The sequence below is a fragment of the Homo sapiens genome, chromosome 2 (genome assembly GCF_000001405.40).
Source record: "Homo sapiens chromosome 2, GRCh38.p14 Primary Assembly".
Lineage (NCBI taxonomy): Eukaryota > Metazoa > Chordata > Mammalia > Primates > Hominidae > Homo > Homo sapiens.
In genome coordinates, this window is record NC_000002.12 from 128,320,456 (window position 1) to 128,334,657 (window position 14,202).

At 49.0% G+C, this 14,202-nt stretch overlaps 3 annotated features.

The window, feature by feature from the left end:
* Positions 1,412-1,731: a silencer, noted in NCBI's record as "silent region_11950". NCBI's record gives its function as "represses an Ori minimal core promoter by ATAC-STARR-seq in GM12878 lymphoblastoid cells {active_cell/tissue: GM12878}" and the evidence as "EXISTENCE:reporter gene assay evidence [ECO:0000049][PMID:35858748]".
* Positions 1,772-1,981: a silencer, noted in NCBI's record as "silent region_11951". NCBI's record gives its function as "represses an Ori minimal core promoter by ATAC-STARR-seq in GM12878 lymphoblastoid cells {active_cell/tissue: GM12878}" and the evidence as "EXISTENCE:reporter gene assay evidence [ECO:0000049][PMID:35858748]".
* Positions 2,448-3,380: an enhancer, noted in NCBI's record as "H3K4me1 hESC enhancer chr2:129080477-129081409 (GRCh37/hg19 assembly coordinates)". NCBI's record gives its function as "activates a minimal SCP1, AML or CMV promoter by ChIP-STARR-seq in naive H9 embryonic stem cells {active_cell/tissue: H9 hESC(naive)}" and the evidence as "EXISTENCE:reporter gene assay evidence [ECO:0000049][PMID:30033119]".

A 14,202-nucleotide genomic window follows, 5' to 3' on the forward strand; every position in this document is an offset into this window, starting at 1 on the left:
CCCTGCAGTGTGCTTGGACCTGCCTGCAGCCCCTTGACGCAGTCTGTGCCTGAGCCCTGGGGAGCCTTCCTGTGTGGCCTAGGGGAGCACAGCTGCCCCGGGTCCACCCCCCAGATGTCCTTACCCAGATAAGGATCCTCGTGCTACATCATAATTAAGGCTGCTCTTTTGGAGACCTGCTGGGTGCCAGGCATTGTAGAGGTGTCATTTCCAATTCCATCAGCAAATCTGCGGGGGTAGGCTGTGATATCCATTTACAGAAGAGAAAACTGAGGTTCAAAGGGGTTAAGACCCTGGTTCCAAGGTCAACCACTCTCACCCCATGAGAGTCAGCAGAGCTGGGATCCTGATTCCTGCTGTGAGCCCCAGAACCCTCCCCTTCCCCACCTCTGCACTTGCCCCAGCTCCCTAGGCCAGGGATGAGAGCGTCTACAGGGGCCACTCCTGAGAGCCTGGTGACCGTCACTGCCACCAAGGGGGAACGTGGGCCCAGAGTGTTCAAGGGAAAGCTGGAGCAGCTCCGAAGGCCAACGAAGCCATCGGTACTTGGGCCATGGCTCCACCCTGTGATGATCTCACTGTCCCAAGGGGGAAACTGAGGCCCAGGCAGGGACGAAGTGCCTGTGATAAGGTCCCACCCTTGAATGGGAGCCAGAGCAGCCTGACCCATGGAGCAACATCTCCCAGAACAAGCTATTTAATCCAACTTCATACCTGCCACACTGGCTGATGGGAAGCACTCACATTAGCCAGGAAGCCCTTTCTTTCTAGAATTCTTTTAAGAGGAGGGAAATCTGCCTGGCTGGCTACAGGACTTTGCTCAGTCTTCCACTTTGATTGAAGCCCTGCACAGGCACCTGAGACCCTAAGGCTGTAGGTGAGTTTCTGGGCTCTGAAAGTCAAGTCAGATGAGCCACCCATCAATCAGTGGACACTTGAGCCGAGTGGAAGGCAGCTCGAGCCCTCGTTGGCGGGGCAGCTTGCATCACGCTACTCCCCACCACTTCCCGCTACTCCCCGCGATGAGTCCTCAGTGTCATGTCTTGGAAAATGGATAGAAACGCACAGTCTGGGGCTGGCGTGGGGTTCCAGGAGGTCAGCGGACACAGCCAGGGTCTCAGGAGGCGCGCTCTGCGCGCTGTTTCCTTTCTTCCCTGGGTGATCTCCTGCGTGGCCAAGGTTTGCCCCAGCCCCGAGAGTGCATATGAGCTAAGTGTTTGCTAGGGGCAGCTTCTGGCCCTGACTGCTTGTGGGGTCCAAGGAAAAGCACTGGCAGCTCTTCTGCTCAGTGGCTTTGTCCCCTGAAGATCCACTTCACCAATTCTTTAATGCGTGATCTCTGACTTAATGGCAAAGAAAAGTAAAAGAACACGGCTTAGTGGCAGGCTGTGATGATCCCAGAAGAGGCATTAACATTCGGCTTCAGGAATGAAGCCTCATTCCCGGCCCACCGTGCGGTCTCAGAGTCTGAGAACCACGAGATCAACAGCGGCGCCCCCTCCCGGCGCACAGTCCCGCGGACGGCCGCGCGGGGGCAGCACGCGGCCCGGCCCCCGAGCGCCCGCGGTTGACTTTGCAAAAAATTGGGGGATTTTCCACACTCGCTTCCCTCGTCGTTCGTCCGGCGGCCGCCCATTGTTGTTTGCCAAGGGGTGGAGGAGGGCAGTCGTGTCTGTCCTCAGAGCCTCCCGTGGGGCTGGCCCCGCTGCCCACGCGGGGCAGAGAGAGGGGTTTCGTTTGGGGACAAACTTTTAGAGGGGACTCCGGCTCGCGCGGACCCGCGGGGCCCGGCCCCGGCCCCGACCCCGACCCGGCGGCAGGCTTGGGGCGCCGGGCTGCGCGCCGTGGACGCCACCTTCTCCGAGGTCGCCAGGCCCCGTCCGCAGCCGCCTCCTCCAGGGAGCCCGCGGCCCCTTTGCCGCCCAGCGGCCCCGTGCCGGGCTCCTCCCCCAGCACCGCGGGGCGCCTGGGCTCCCAGGCAGCCCGCAGACGCGGCAGGTCTTCCCAGGACCCGAGGGACGCGCTCCGGCCGCTGCCCGGGGACAGCAGGGGTCCTGCGGTTCGGTTCGAGGACCGCGCTGGAAGAGGCCCGGGGCTTCGGAAGGGCCATTCCCCTCCCTCCACGCCCGCCCAGGGCCTCGCTGTTCTTTGTGCCCTTTCTCTAGGCCCTCCAGGCCCGCTTCAGTCCTTAGGGGAAGAGGGTAGGATAAACAGAAGAGGAGAACCTGAGCAATTCGTAGGGGCAGCGTGGTCCTGGGCTTCCCCGGCCCTTGCCCGCCCCCCCCGCCCTGCTGGCTCGGTGACCTCCCCCTGGCTGGCCCCCTGCCCTCGCGTGTGACGTGGGGTTGTTGGCAAGTGGGGGGCTTGGACTGCTGCCTGGCCGGGATTCGGAGTCTGTCCAGTGGAGCCCACCCTCCTCCCCGGGCAGCGGGACTGTGGGCAGGCCTGGCGGGTTCTGCCAGCTTGGGAGGCAGGACAGGGACCTGGTAACGTTGCCCCAAGGGCATCGTCCTGGTTCTTCTGCTTGAAACTTCCCAAGGGACATGTCTTTAGACGACTAGGGTGGAGGCGGGATCACAGCCTGGATGGGGTGGGGGGTGACTGCTCGCAGCTTCCGGTGGCCAGTGGGTCTCCTCCCAGATGGCTGTCATTCACTGCCCAGAGGGGTTCCGACTCGGCCGGGTCGGGGGAGCCACCAGAGAGGGCACTGAGCAGCTTGACAAGCTCCACTGTTGGGGATGTTCCCTGGGGGTGGGGTGGGGTGGATGGCGGCTCTTTTGAGGGTGAAATGTTCTAGTCCGAGAAAAGTCACTCAACCATGGGGTGCTTGCTGCTCCCACCCCAGCTGCCTAAGCCACCAGGGGCCGGGGCACAGGTGGAAGAAGGTGGCCTCAGTCCTGGGCCCTGATGCCTAGAAGGGCATGGTCAGTGCCCTCCAGGCAGCCTTGCCTGATCGTTGGGGCTCGGGACCAGCTCCCACTCTGCTCCACTCTCTGCTGGCTGGACTGGCCACCCCTCTGTCTGTGGAATTCACTTGGTGCCAGTGCCCTTCCTGGAGGATGATGGCCGGCCCCCATGCTCCTCGTCACCAGGTCCTGCTCTTTTTACCTCCATTCATCGCCACTGCTATTAAAGAGTCGCCCTCTTGCTAGATTACAGTTGGCTTGACAAGTCAGTTGACTGTTCTGATGGAAGCTTCTTCTTGGGCAGGGCCCCAGGGCCTTGGTGGGACCCGGGCCCTGGGTGGGGGCACAGAGGTGGGACACAATGATGGCTTTATGGAGCAGGCCCTGCCCGCCCCTGTGGCACTGTGGGGAGGGGGCTCACCTGTCCCTAGGCCAGGGCTCAGCACGGCAGCGGTAAACCTGGCTGGCCTTGACACTTCCTGGAATCTCTCAGTGACCACGTTTCTTTTTGCACCAAATAGCTATGGTTCTTGCTGTTCGTTTCTCTCCCTGCCCTCCTTTAAGAAGGAGAGTTCGTGGGAATTAGACACTCAGGGTTGGGGGAGGGTAACCTTGGCTCCTGGTGGGAGGAGTCTGCGTCCTTCTCTGGGCCCAGGGCCTATGGGGCAGCAACAGCATCTCCTCTATTCTCAGAGCATCCAGGGACAGGGTCACACCATGGGTGTGTGGTACACCAGGTCGTCCACCTGGCTGAAGGCCTGGGCTGGTGACAAGTGCTGTGGTGCTGTTCAGGCCAGCAGAAAAGAGGGAGGCACATTTCTGTCAGCAGACGGGATGGGGTATGGCTCACACCTGCTGGGCTGGAGGCTGTGCTCCACCCAGGGCCTCAGGCTGTGTCTTTGACAACAATAATCACCCTATGGGCAAGGTCTGCGTGCTGAGCCCTTGTCAGTCACATCTCTTATAATCCAACAGCAGCTCTGTGGGCCTCTCCTTACAGATGGGGAGGCTGAGCCCCAGGGACATGAGGCCACTTGCCAAGGTCACAGAGCCAGTGGGTGCTCAGCTGAGGCCGCGAGGCTGGGAGAGGCACCCCTCAGGTAAGGGGGCTGGAGAAGGGAGTCCACACCAATGCCACCCACGTCTATACCGTCGTGACTGCCATGCAGTCTTGACCAGCCTTGGGCCGGGTGAGGGCCTCCTGGTACGTGTTTTGCCCTTGACTTTGGCTTTTGGGTGACTGGGGTTGGGACACTCCTCCTACCCTCAGGCTGGTCCCTGGAGGGACCACCTGGGCTGGGGGCCAAGGAGGAAGGTCTCAGCCTCAGTTGTAGGAAAACAAAGTTAAACATTATCATTAGGAGTAAAGGTGCTATGTTCACACCCCAGCTCTGTCTAACCAGCTGTGTGGCCTTCACCAAGTTACTTAACCTCTCTGAGCCTTGGTTTCCTCATCTGTAAAGTGAGGATAATAATGGGACCTACTTCATAGGGTCATGGTAAGCAATAAGCAAGCAAACGCTTATTCCACAGCCCTGTCTACGCCAAGGGCTAGGTATTCCTACTGTCGATTTGTGGGAAGCACCCTATCAGCATCCGCATATTCAAAACCAGCTACTCGGCTTCTCCTGTGTGCCAGGCCCTCCTGTGCGCTGGCCTCCTCTGTGCATGATTGTATTCAGTGCTCTCGGCTGCCCTATGGGCATAATTCCCTCATTTCTCAGGTCAGGGAGCTGAGGCTGAGCAGAGGATAGTGACTTGGCCAAGGGGACAGTGTCCCCTCCCTGGTGAGAGCCTTGGTTGAGGGTCCTCTCCACCTTCCCATTTCCCGACTCCCAGCCCTTGGAGAAACCCAAGTCCTGGGCTCCTGGGCAGAGCCTAGCCCCCAGCCCCCAGCCCGGCCTGGACCACGTCCTCCTGCCGGGTGGGGTTGTAAGGTGCCCTGCTGCTGGGCTGTTCCTCCTGTCCTAGGGTCTTGACGCGCTTACCTTCCTCTTCCATCTTTCCACGCCCTCCTTTGACTCTATCTCTGGTGCCATTTCCAGGGTTTGTAGCTGAGCTTAGAAGAGGGGAGCTGGAGAAATGGGTCTATACCTCCTTGTCCAGACCAGAACTCAATCATAGCTTTTTCTTTTTATCTGCTCCCATCTTCTTGAGAGCCCATCCCACTGTGTGGCAGAGAAAACCTGTATTACTTCCATCCTGTAATCCCAGTCTGATCCAATAATTGTTAGGCTCTATTTGATTTCTTGACTTTTGTTTACGAAGAGTTTAAATTCACACAGAAGTAGAGAGGGTAGCACAGTGAGCCAATTCCTGCCCTTACCCGGAGTCTCCGGCTTCCACGGCTGGCAGCACGTGCCTGTCCCTGCTGCAGCCTGCCCTCTCCAGCGGAGCACCAAAAGCCAACCCAGGACAACACAGGCTTTCCCTGCTAGTGCTGCCCTCTGCTTTCTAGCTTCAGGTCACCCTCGGGCCCTGTCTCAAGGCTGCTTGGTCCCTACTCACACACCCCAAGAGAATGTGTGGTCTTCCGAGATCTGAATTCTTTGGGAGTCCCAGAGGGCCCCAAAGCAAGAGCAAAGGGCGAGGTTCATAGGCAGCGGCTGGCCCCGGTGTGAGCTGGCCACTGTCCAGCTAGGGAGGCTGATGGAGCCTGCTTGGCGTGCCATGGGCACAGGCACCAGGCCTGCAGCTGGCAGGACTCTGGGCCTTACCACAACCCCCAGACCTGGCTGTCATGGGAAAAGCCCAGCCCCGGTGGGCCATGGGGGGGCCAGCCTGCCCCTGCCCATACCTCAGTCAAGCTCTGCATCCCCATTTGAGGCATAAGAAGCCTCTGGGCTCTATTTCTGCCACAGAGAAACCCAGGAAGGACAAACTCAGCCCCTCTGCTCCACCGTGTCTATCCTGCTGGGCCTGCCCTGCAGAGCAGCCTATACCCAGAGGCTCCTAAGGGCAGACAGAGCCCCTCACAGACACCTCTGTATTCCAGGACATCTACTCCTATCTTGAAATATTAAGAGATAAAAGATTTACAAAATCCTCATCTCAACAAAGTCTGCCTTTCAAGCCCGTGGGCCAGGTGCAAACTCAGAAAGCCTGGTTTTGGAATTCTAAAGCCGAGTTTTCATTCTTGAGAGTCCAGGCCGCCTGAGGCAAAAAGATGCCTCCTGCAGAAGAGGGAGGTGGCAGGACCAGGAGATGCAAATGAGATGGGTGTATTCACATATTTCAAACAATGTGATCAAGTTGTACAGAACTGAACACACACACACCAATGAGAGCAGGCAGAACTGGGGAAATCTGAACAAGGTTGCTGCTGTCCCCGTGTTATAGCCTGCTTGAAATACTGTGCTGTATTTCCACAGGATGTTAGCCACTTGCCACTGGGGGAGACTGGTGAAGGAACTCAACTGCGTGCAAACCCACAGTTATAATAAAAAGTTTAACGTGAAGAAAAGCACATCTGACCAGGTGCAGTGGCTCCCGCCTGTAATCCCAGCACTTTGGGAGGCCGAGGCGGGCGGATTACCTGAGGTTGGGAGTTTGAGACCAGCCTGACCAACATAGAGAAACCCCGTCTCTACTAAAAATGCAAAATCAGCTGGGCATGGTGGCACATGCCTGTAATCTCAGCTACTTGGGAGGCTGAGGCAGGAGAATCGCTTGAACCCGGGAGGTGGAGGTTGTGGTGAGCCGAGATTGCGCCATTGCACTCCAGCCTGGGCAACAAGAGTGAAACTCTGTCTCAAAAAAAAAAAAAAGAAAGAAAGAAAAGTACATCTGCGTCTGGAGGGAGTGGGCATCACGGTGCCAGTCTCCTGGCCCTGTGAGGCCTACAGGGTGCACCGTGTGGGCCCTGCCCACCTGCCGTCTGATCAGTACTCATCAAAGGTGGGTATGAATGATGGAAGAGCAGTCCTGTCCAGGCACCTGCTCTGTTCGCCCGAGACTCCCTGTGACTGCAGCCCAGTGCTGGCCTGCGCCTCCCAGCCTTGGCCTGTGGGGCCTGGTCTGGCTTGCTGCCCTGGCTGGGACTGCCAATGAGAGGGGCAGTCCTGCTCCCAGGTTCAGGCAAGTGGCACAGGCCCAGTCCAAGCACCCTCCGACCATCCTCCGCCATCTCTAGCCCTCTGGTTTTTGTGCCCCTTTTACCAGGATTTTACTTCCCCAGCAGGGCTAGGCCCTGGGCAAAGAGAATCAGATGGATAACTTTGAAATGCTGGCTCCAGGGCCAGCCAGAGTCTGTAGGGGGCCTCTTGTAGGGGGCCTGGGCACCAAGTTTGAAATGCTTGTGAGTGATTGTGACATGGAGCTAGGGCTGAGAACACCCATTCCACCTGCCCACCTGTCCCTGGAACAGGGGTGGTGGCTTGGGCCTGGCTCTATGCTGGGCTGGAATCTGTAGGAGCTAGTGGGCAAGCCTCCTTCCAGGAGCTAGGCTCAGGGGAGGAGAGTGGCCGTTTTATTCCTGCCCTGCAGCCACGTCACCCGCCCCCTTCAGATGCACCCATTTCCCACTGTAGCACCTGGGCCTGGGCTGGGGCAGAGTGGAATAGCAAGCTGAAGCGTATTCAGTTTCTGAAATTTTTAACAGGTGGATTTTTTTTTTTTGTAATTATCAACTCTGGAAAACATTTAAACTGTAGGGAAGTAGAAAACTGTTGTAAGGAAAAAATGCCATTCATCTATACTTTAATTATTTAGAATGAACTCCTAATGATGTTTTTATTTCTTTCTGGTCTTTTTTCTTTTGCATGTTCATGTAGCAGTTGAGAGCACACCACATGCATGGTGTTGAATCTTGCTTTATTTCGCTTAATATTTTATCCCAAGCATTTTCGTAAATTGCTAAGAATAACTTCATAAACATAATATTTGACTACTCAATATTTCCAATTTTGGACATACCATAATTTACTTCACTGTTTCCTTAGTGTTGGGCCTTTACACTTCTTTGGTATTTCACTTTTTTGTTTCTGATTGTTCATTTTTTTCTCATTTAAAAGAATGCTGTAAGGAACACTCTTATGCACAAATTGTTGTCTGCATTTCAGGCTTTTTTGGATACTTTATTAAAGGAGCATTTGCTGGACCAAATGGGGGCTGGGGGGAGGAATCATTTGAAGAGCCTTAATTCTTAGTGCCAAGCTCCTTTCCAGGATGGTTCAAGTTTGGCCTCCCATAAGCAGTAAATGGCAGTGCCGCCTCACCCCCTTACAGCATAGACTATTGTCATTTCTTAAAATCTTTCTGAATTTGAAAAGAGCAAAAAATTTATTTATTTATTTATTTTGAAATGCAGTCTTGCTCTGTCGCCCTGGCTAGAGTGCAGTGGTGCCATCTTGGCTCGCTGCAACCTCTGCCTCCTGGGTTCAAGCAATTCTCTGCCTCAGCCTCCCAAGTAGCTGGGATTATAAGGCACCCGCCACCATGCCCTGCTAATTTTTTGTATTTTTAGTAGAGATGGGGTTTCGCCATCTTGGCCAGGCTGGTCTTGAACTCCCAACCTTGTGATCCACCCGCCTCATCCTCCCAAAGTGCTGGGATTACAGACATGAGCCACCGTGCCCAGCCAAATTTAAAAATGTTTAAAAGAGTTTTCTGTTGTAGAATTAATTTTCTCAGAATCCTAATCATGGCATTTGCAGTTACTAATGTTTGTGCCAGAATAAAGGGATTCTAGAACATGAGGCTTATAATAAGCTGTTTCTCCCTCTGCCCCACCATGGGGTCTACAAAAAGAGAAACAGCAAGAAGTGGTGGATTCTACTTCTAACTCTTTTTTATAACTAAAAAAAAAAAAAAATTATCAACTAACTCATGTTCACTAATGACCATAAGATTAGGAGATTATGCCCATGCAGCTCAATCTTTCTTTCTTTCTTTCTTTCTTTTTTCTGTGATGGAGTCTTGCTCTGTCACCCAGGCTGGAATCTCGGCTCACTGCAACCTCCACCTTCTGGGTTCAAGCAGTTCTTCTGCCTCAGCCTTCCAAGTAGCTGGGATTACAAGCACATGCCACCACGTCTGGCTAAGTTTTGTATTTTTAGTAGAGACGGGGTTTCACCATGTTGGCCAGGATGGTCTCCAGCTCTTGACCTCGTGATCTGCCCGCCTCGGCCTCCCAAAGTGCTGGGATTACAGGCGTGAGCCACCGTGCCCAGCCCATTGATCTTAATGGCTATATAGAATTCTGTTTCATGACTTATACCACAATTTAAATAGTCACAGATGTTGAACATTTAGGTTGTTTCCAATTGTAAATTCCTGCTATAATGGACATTCTTGTATGTACATCTTTGTGCACTGGTTATTGCATCAGAATACATTCAGGAAATTTGAAATTTGGAGTCAAAGAATGTGTGTGGTTTAAAGCTTCTTGTAAATAGTGTTGAGTTGTCCTTCAAAAGGGGTTGCCAGTGAATATTTCCACCAGCAGTCTATGATAGTCCTCGTTTCCAGGAATAACATAGCTCTGACTCCATTGTACGTGCCGCCAACTCTCTCAGTTTCAGCCACGATGACTTTCCTACTGTTTCCTCAATGTGTCAGGCATGTTCTCACCTCAGCAGCCTTTGCACGTGCTAATCCCTCTGCCTGAAATATGTTTCCCAGGACATCCAAATGGCTACACCGTCACTTTCTTCAGGTGTCTGCTCAGATACCATTTTATCAGAATTGCCTCCCTGTTCATCCTATGTGAAAGAATAACACCTTTTTCTCCATTGCTTCCCCACTCCCTTATTATTCCTTATCTTTCTTCCTAACACCTATCACCTTGTGTCTCTCCACACTAGAAGAGAAGGTCTTAAGGGCAGACACTGTCAAGGGCATTTCTGGAGTCCAGTGCCCAGGGATACATATGGATCTCCCATGTAGAACGTGCCCAACAAATATTTATTGCAGTCAAATGCTCTACCACTGAGCTATACCCCATATATATATATATATATATATATATATATATATATATATATATATAATTTTTTTTTCTTTTTTTGAGATGGAGTTTCACTCTTGTTGCCCAGGCTGGAGTGCAAAGGCACGATCTCAGCTCACTGCAACCTCTGCCTCCCAGGTTCAAGCGATTCTCCTGCCTCAGCCTCCTGAGTAGCTGGGATTATAGGCACCTGCTACCACGCCCAGCTAATTTTTTGTATTTTCAGTAGAGATGGGGTTTCACTATTTTGGCCAGGCTGGTCGCAGATTCCTGACCTCAGGCGATCTACCTGCCTTGGCCTCCGAAAGTGCTGGAAATACAGGTGTGAGCCAACACCCCCAGCCCCAAACAAATATTTATGGAATAAAGGATTATTATTATTCTCAAATTTCACTAGATCAATAAGTGAAAAATGGTATCTTACTGTGGTTTCAATTCACATCAATTTAATTGCTAATTAAAATGAATTATTTTCATTATTTTTGGCCATTTATTTTTCTCCTTTTGCAAATTATTCATTTCCTTAGTTCATTTTCTATTGAGGTGTTTGTCTTTTTATTTTTTATTTTATTTATTTATTTATTGAGATGGAGTCTCGCTCTGTCGCCAGGCTGGAGTGCAGTGGCACAATCTCGGCTCACTTCCACCTCAACTTCCCAGGTTCAAGGGATTCTCCTGCCTCGAGTAGCTGGGACTACAGGCATGAGCCACCATGCCCAGTTAATTTTTGTATTTTTAGTAGAGATGGGATTTCACCGTGTTGGCCAGGATGGTCTCAATCTCTTGACCTCATGATCCTCCAGCATTGGCCTCCCAACGTGCTAGGATTACAGGTGTGAGCCACTGTGTCTGGCCTCTTTTTATTTTTAATAGTTCTTTAAATGTTAATGGTATTAACCCCTCATCTCTCATAGATTTTAGAAATAATTTCTCACAAATTTTCATTTACGTTTTAATTCTTTTATATATTTTTGCCATATATAAGTTCTAGGTTTCTGTTTAGTCAAATCCATCAATTTGCTTTGTTTTCTCATCTTGGGGTCACGTTTAGACAATCTCTCCATACCTGAAGACTATAAGAAGCCCATCTTTAAATTCTTTTAATATCTTTCATGTATCCTTTTTTAACACTTAAAATTAAAATCTGTCGAATTTATTTTGCTATAACATATGAGATAGAGATAACTTTTTAAAATTATGAGTCTATTTTCTTAATAACATTTATGAATTCATCCTAACAGTGAGAACAAGTAGATAAGCTACATAAGTCATAGTTTAAAAAACTCATCAGAGAGCTGAGATTATAAAGAAATGTAAATGTACTAAATTCCAGAGAGCAGACTAGGCATATGACTGCTTTTGTCCCTGGTAGATTGAGGAGGGAAGGGAGAATATGCTATGGGGAAAGAGGAAACAGCCAACATTTTATTGAACATTTAGTGGTCACTTGTGGCCTGGCAGACTACGTGTGTATCTTGTATATCTTGAGTTCTCACATTAGTACTCATATTAGTATCTTAAGACACCCAATCACATAATGAGTCTGAACCCACCTGCCAACTGAAGCTGCACTGAAGTCAAAACCTAGGTCAACCCTCCACAGTAGTGGTTTGATAAAAGAAAGGGAACGTCCTGTATGGGTATGAACATCATTAACTTTAGTGTCAACTATTATTTTACAGACAAAGCCAGATATAAAAAAATGACAAGGGACACACACAAAAAACCAAAATGTGCTCATGGTCAAGAGGAGAAATAATCAATAGAATCAGATGCAGAGATGGCCTAGATGTTGGAATTATCAGACAGAGATGTTAATATAGCTATAAAACATATGTTAAATAATCCATCCAAAAAGATGGACAACATGTGTAAGTATATGGGGTTATTTCAACAGCGATATGAAATTACAACAAAGAACCAAATGCAAATTTTAGAAATGCAAAATACTTTATTAGAAATGCAAAATCTGCTGAGCTCATCAGCAGACTGGGAACAACAGAGGGAACAACCAATCAGTGAATTTGAAGACAGGTTAAGAGAAATTATTCAAACTGAAACACAAAGAGAAAAGGATATAACAAAACAGAGGGGATCTCTGGGGTGATAGCAAATGGTCCAATATATGTGTAAGTGGAGCACTAAAAGGGGAAGTGAGAGGATGGAGCAGAAGATATATTTAGCAGAAATAATAGCAGAGAATTGAACAAGATTAATGAAGGAAACCCGCAGATCTAAGACTCAGTGAATTTCAAATGGAATAAACACAAATAAAACCACACTTAGATACATCATATTCAAATGGCTAAAAGCCATGGATAAAGATAAAATCTTTTTTTTTTCTTTTTTGAGATGTAGTCTCACTCTGTCACCAGGCTGGAGTGCAGTGGCGCAATCTCGGCTCACTGCAACCTCCACCTCCTGGGTTCAAGCGATTCTTGTGCTTCAGCCTCTTGAGTAGCTGGAATTACAGGGATGCGCCACCACACCCAGCTAATTTTTTGTATTTTTAGTAGAGACTGGGTTTCACCATGTTGAGCAGGATGGTCTCGATCTTCTGACCTCCTGATCTGCCCACCTTGGCCTCCCAAAGTGCTGGGATTACAGGCGAGAGCCACTGTGCCCGGCCAAGATAAAATCTTAAAATCAGCTAGAGAGAAAAAACACATACACAGAGGAACGATGATAAGAGTCAATTTTCATTGATTATTTTTATTAGAACCGATGGAGGGCAGATGACAATGGAACAATATTAAATTTTAAATGAAAAAATAAAAAGACAAAATTAAAAACCCTTTCCAGCAAGAAACATATATCCAGAAAAAAAGTATCTTTAAATAAAGGCAAATACAAATTTTCAAACAAAGACTGAGAGAATTAATCACAAGTAGATCTACACTTCAAGAAATGCTAAAAGAAGGTCTTCAAGCTGAAGAGTAATGATGCCAGATGAAATCCCAGATCTGCAGGAAGGTACGAAGAGTATTAGAAAGATGTATGTATACCTCTAGACCTATGTCTACTTATAAATGTTGACCAAAGCAAAACAATAACAAGGAATTGTGGGATTTATAGAATAAATAAAAGTAAAATATATGAAAACAAAAGCACAAGACAGGAGGGAGTAAATGAAATATATTGCTCTAATATTTTAGGGGAAAATAGACAAATCCTTGATCATAGCTAGGCATTTTAACACCACTCTCTGAGTGACAGATAGAATTAGCAGCCAAAATCAGTCAAATGTTTTATAAAAATGTGCCTTTTAATCTCTAGAGCAAGCTTGTCCACCCGTGGCCACATGTATCCCAGGATGACTTTGAAGGCAGCCCAACACAAATTTGTAAACTTTCTTAAAACCTTAAGAGTTTTTTTTTTTTTTGAGACAGAGTCGCACTGTGTCACCCAGGCTGGAGTGCAGTGGTGCTATCTTGGCTCACTGCAATCTCTGCCTCCCAGGCTCAAGTGATTCGCCTGCCTCAGCCTCCCGAGTAGCTGGGATTACAGGCAAACAGCGCCACGCCCAGCTTTGTATTTTTAGTAGAGACGGGGTTTCACCATGTCGGCCAGGCTGGTCTTAAACTCCTGGCCTCAAGTGATCTGCCCCCGTCAGCTTCCCAAAGTGCTGGGATTACAGGCATGTGCCCGGCACATTATGAGATTTTTTTTGCGATTTTTTTTTTTTTTTTGCTCATCAGCTAAAATGTTAGTATTAGTGTATTTTATGTGTAGCCCAAGGCAATTCTTCTTCTTCCAATGTGGCCCAGAGAAGAAAGAAGATTGGACACCCCTGCCTAGAGTAACTAAAGTAAACCTCACTTAATGTTATCAGTAGGTTTTTGGAAAATGTGACTGAGTAAAATGACATATAATAAAACCATTTTTTCATCATTATGATGAAATAATGTTGAACACGACGACATTATTTGAGAACCTGCTGTACATTGTTTCACTTGAAGTCAGTTTCCAAGAACCTATTGATGATATTAAGTGAGAGCTTACTTTACTAAAAAAGTGTGAAGAGTTATATCTAAAAGTTCAATAGATGACATTAAAACACACAAAAAAATACTTGATTGACCCCTAAAAAACTCAGGAAAAGTGGAGCAGAGCACAAAACAAAACAAAACAAAGGTGACAAATAGAAAACATACCAAGATGGTAGACTCAAGCCAAAGCATAACAGTTACTACATTGGGTGTAAATAGAAAAACTCTCCAATTAAAATGCAGAGACTGCCAGGCTGGATAAAGAAGAAAGATCCAACTGTACATTGTTTATATAATAAGAAACAACTTAAATATAAAGACAGGTTGAAAGTAAAAGGGTGGAACAAGATATACCGTGAAA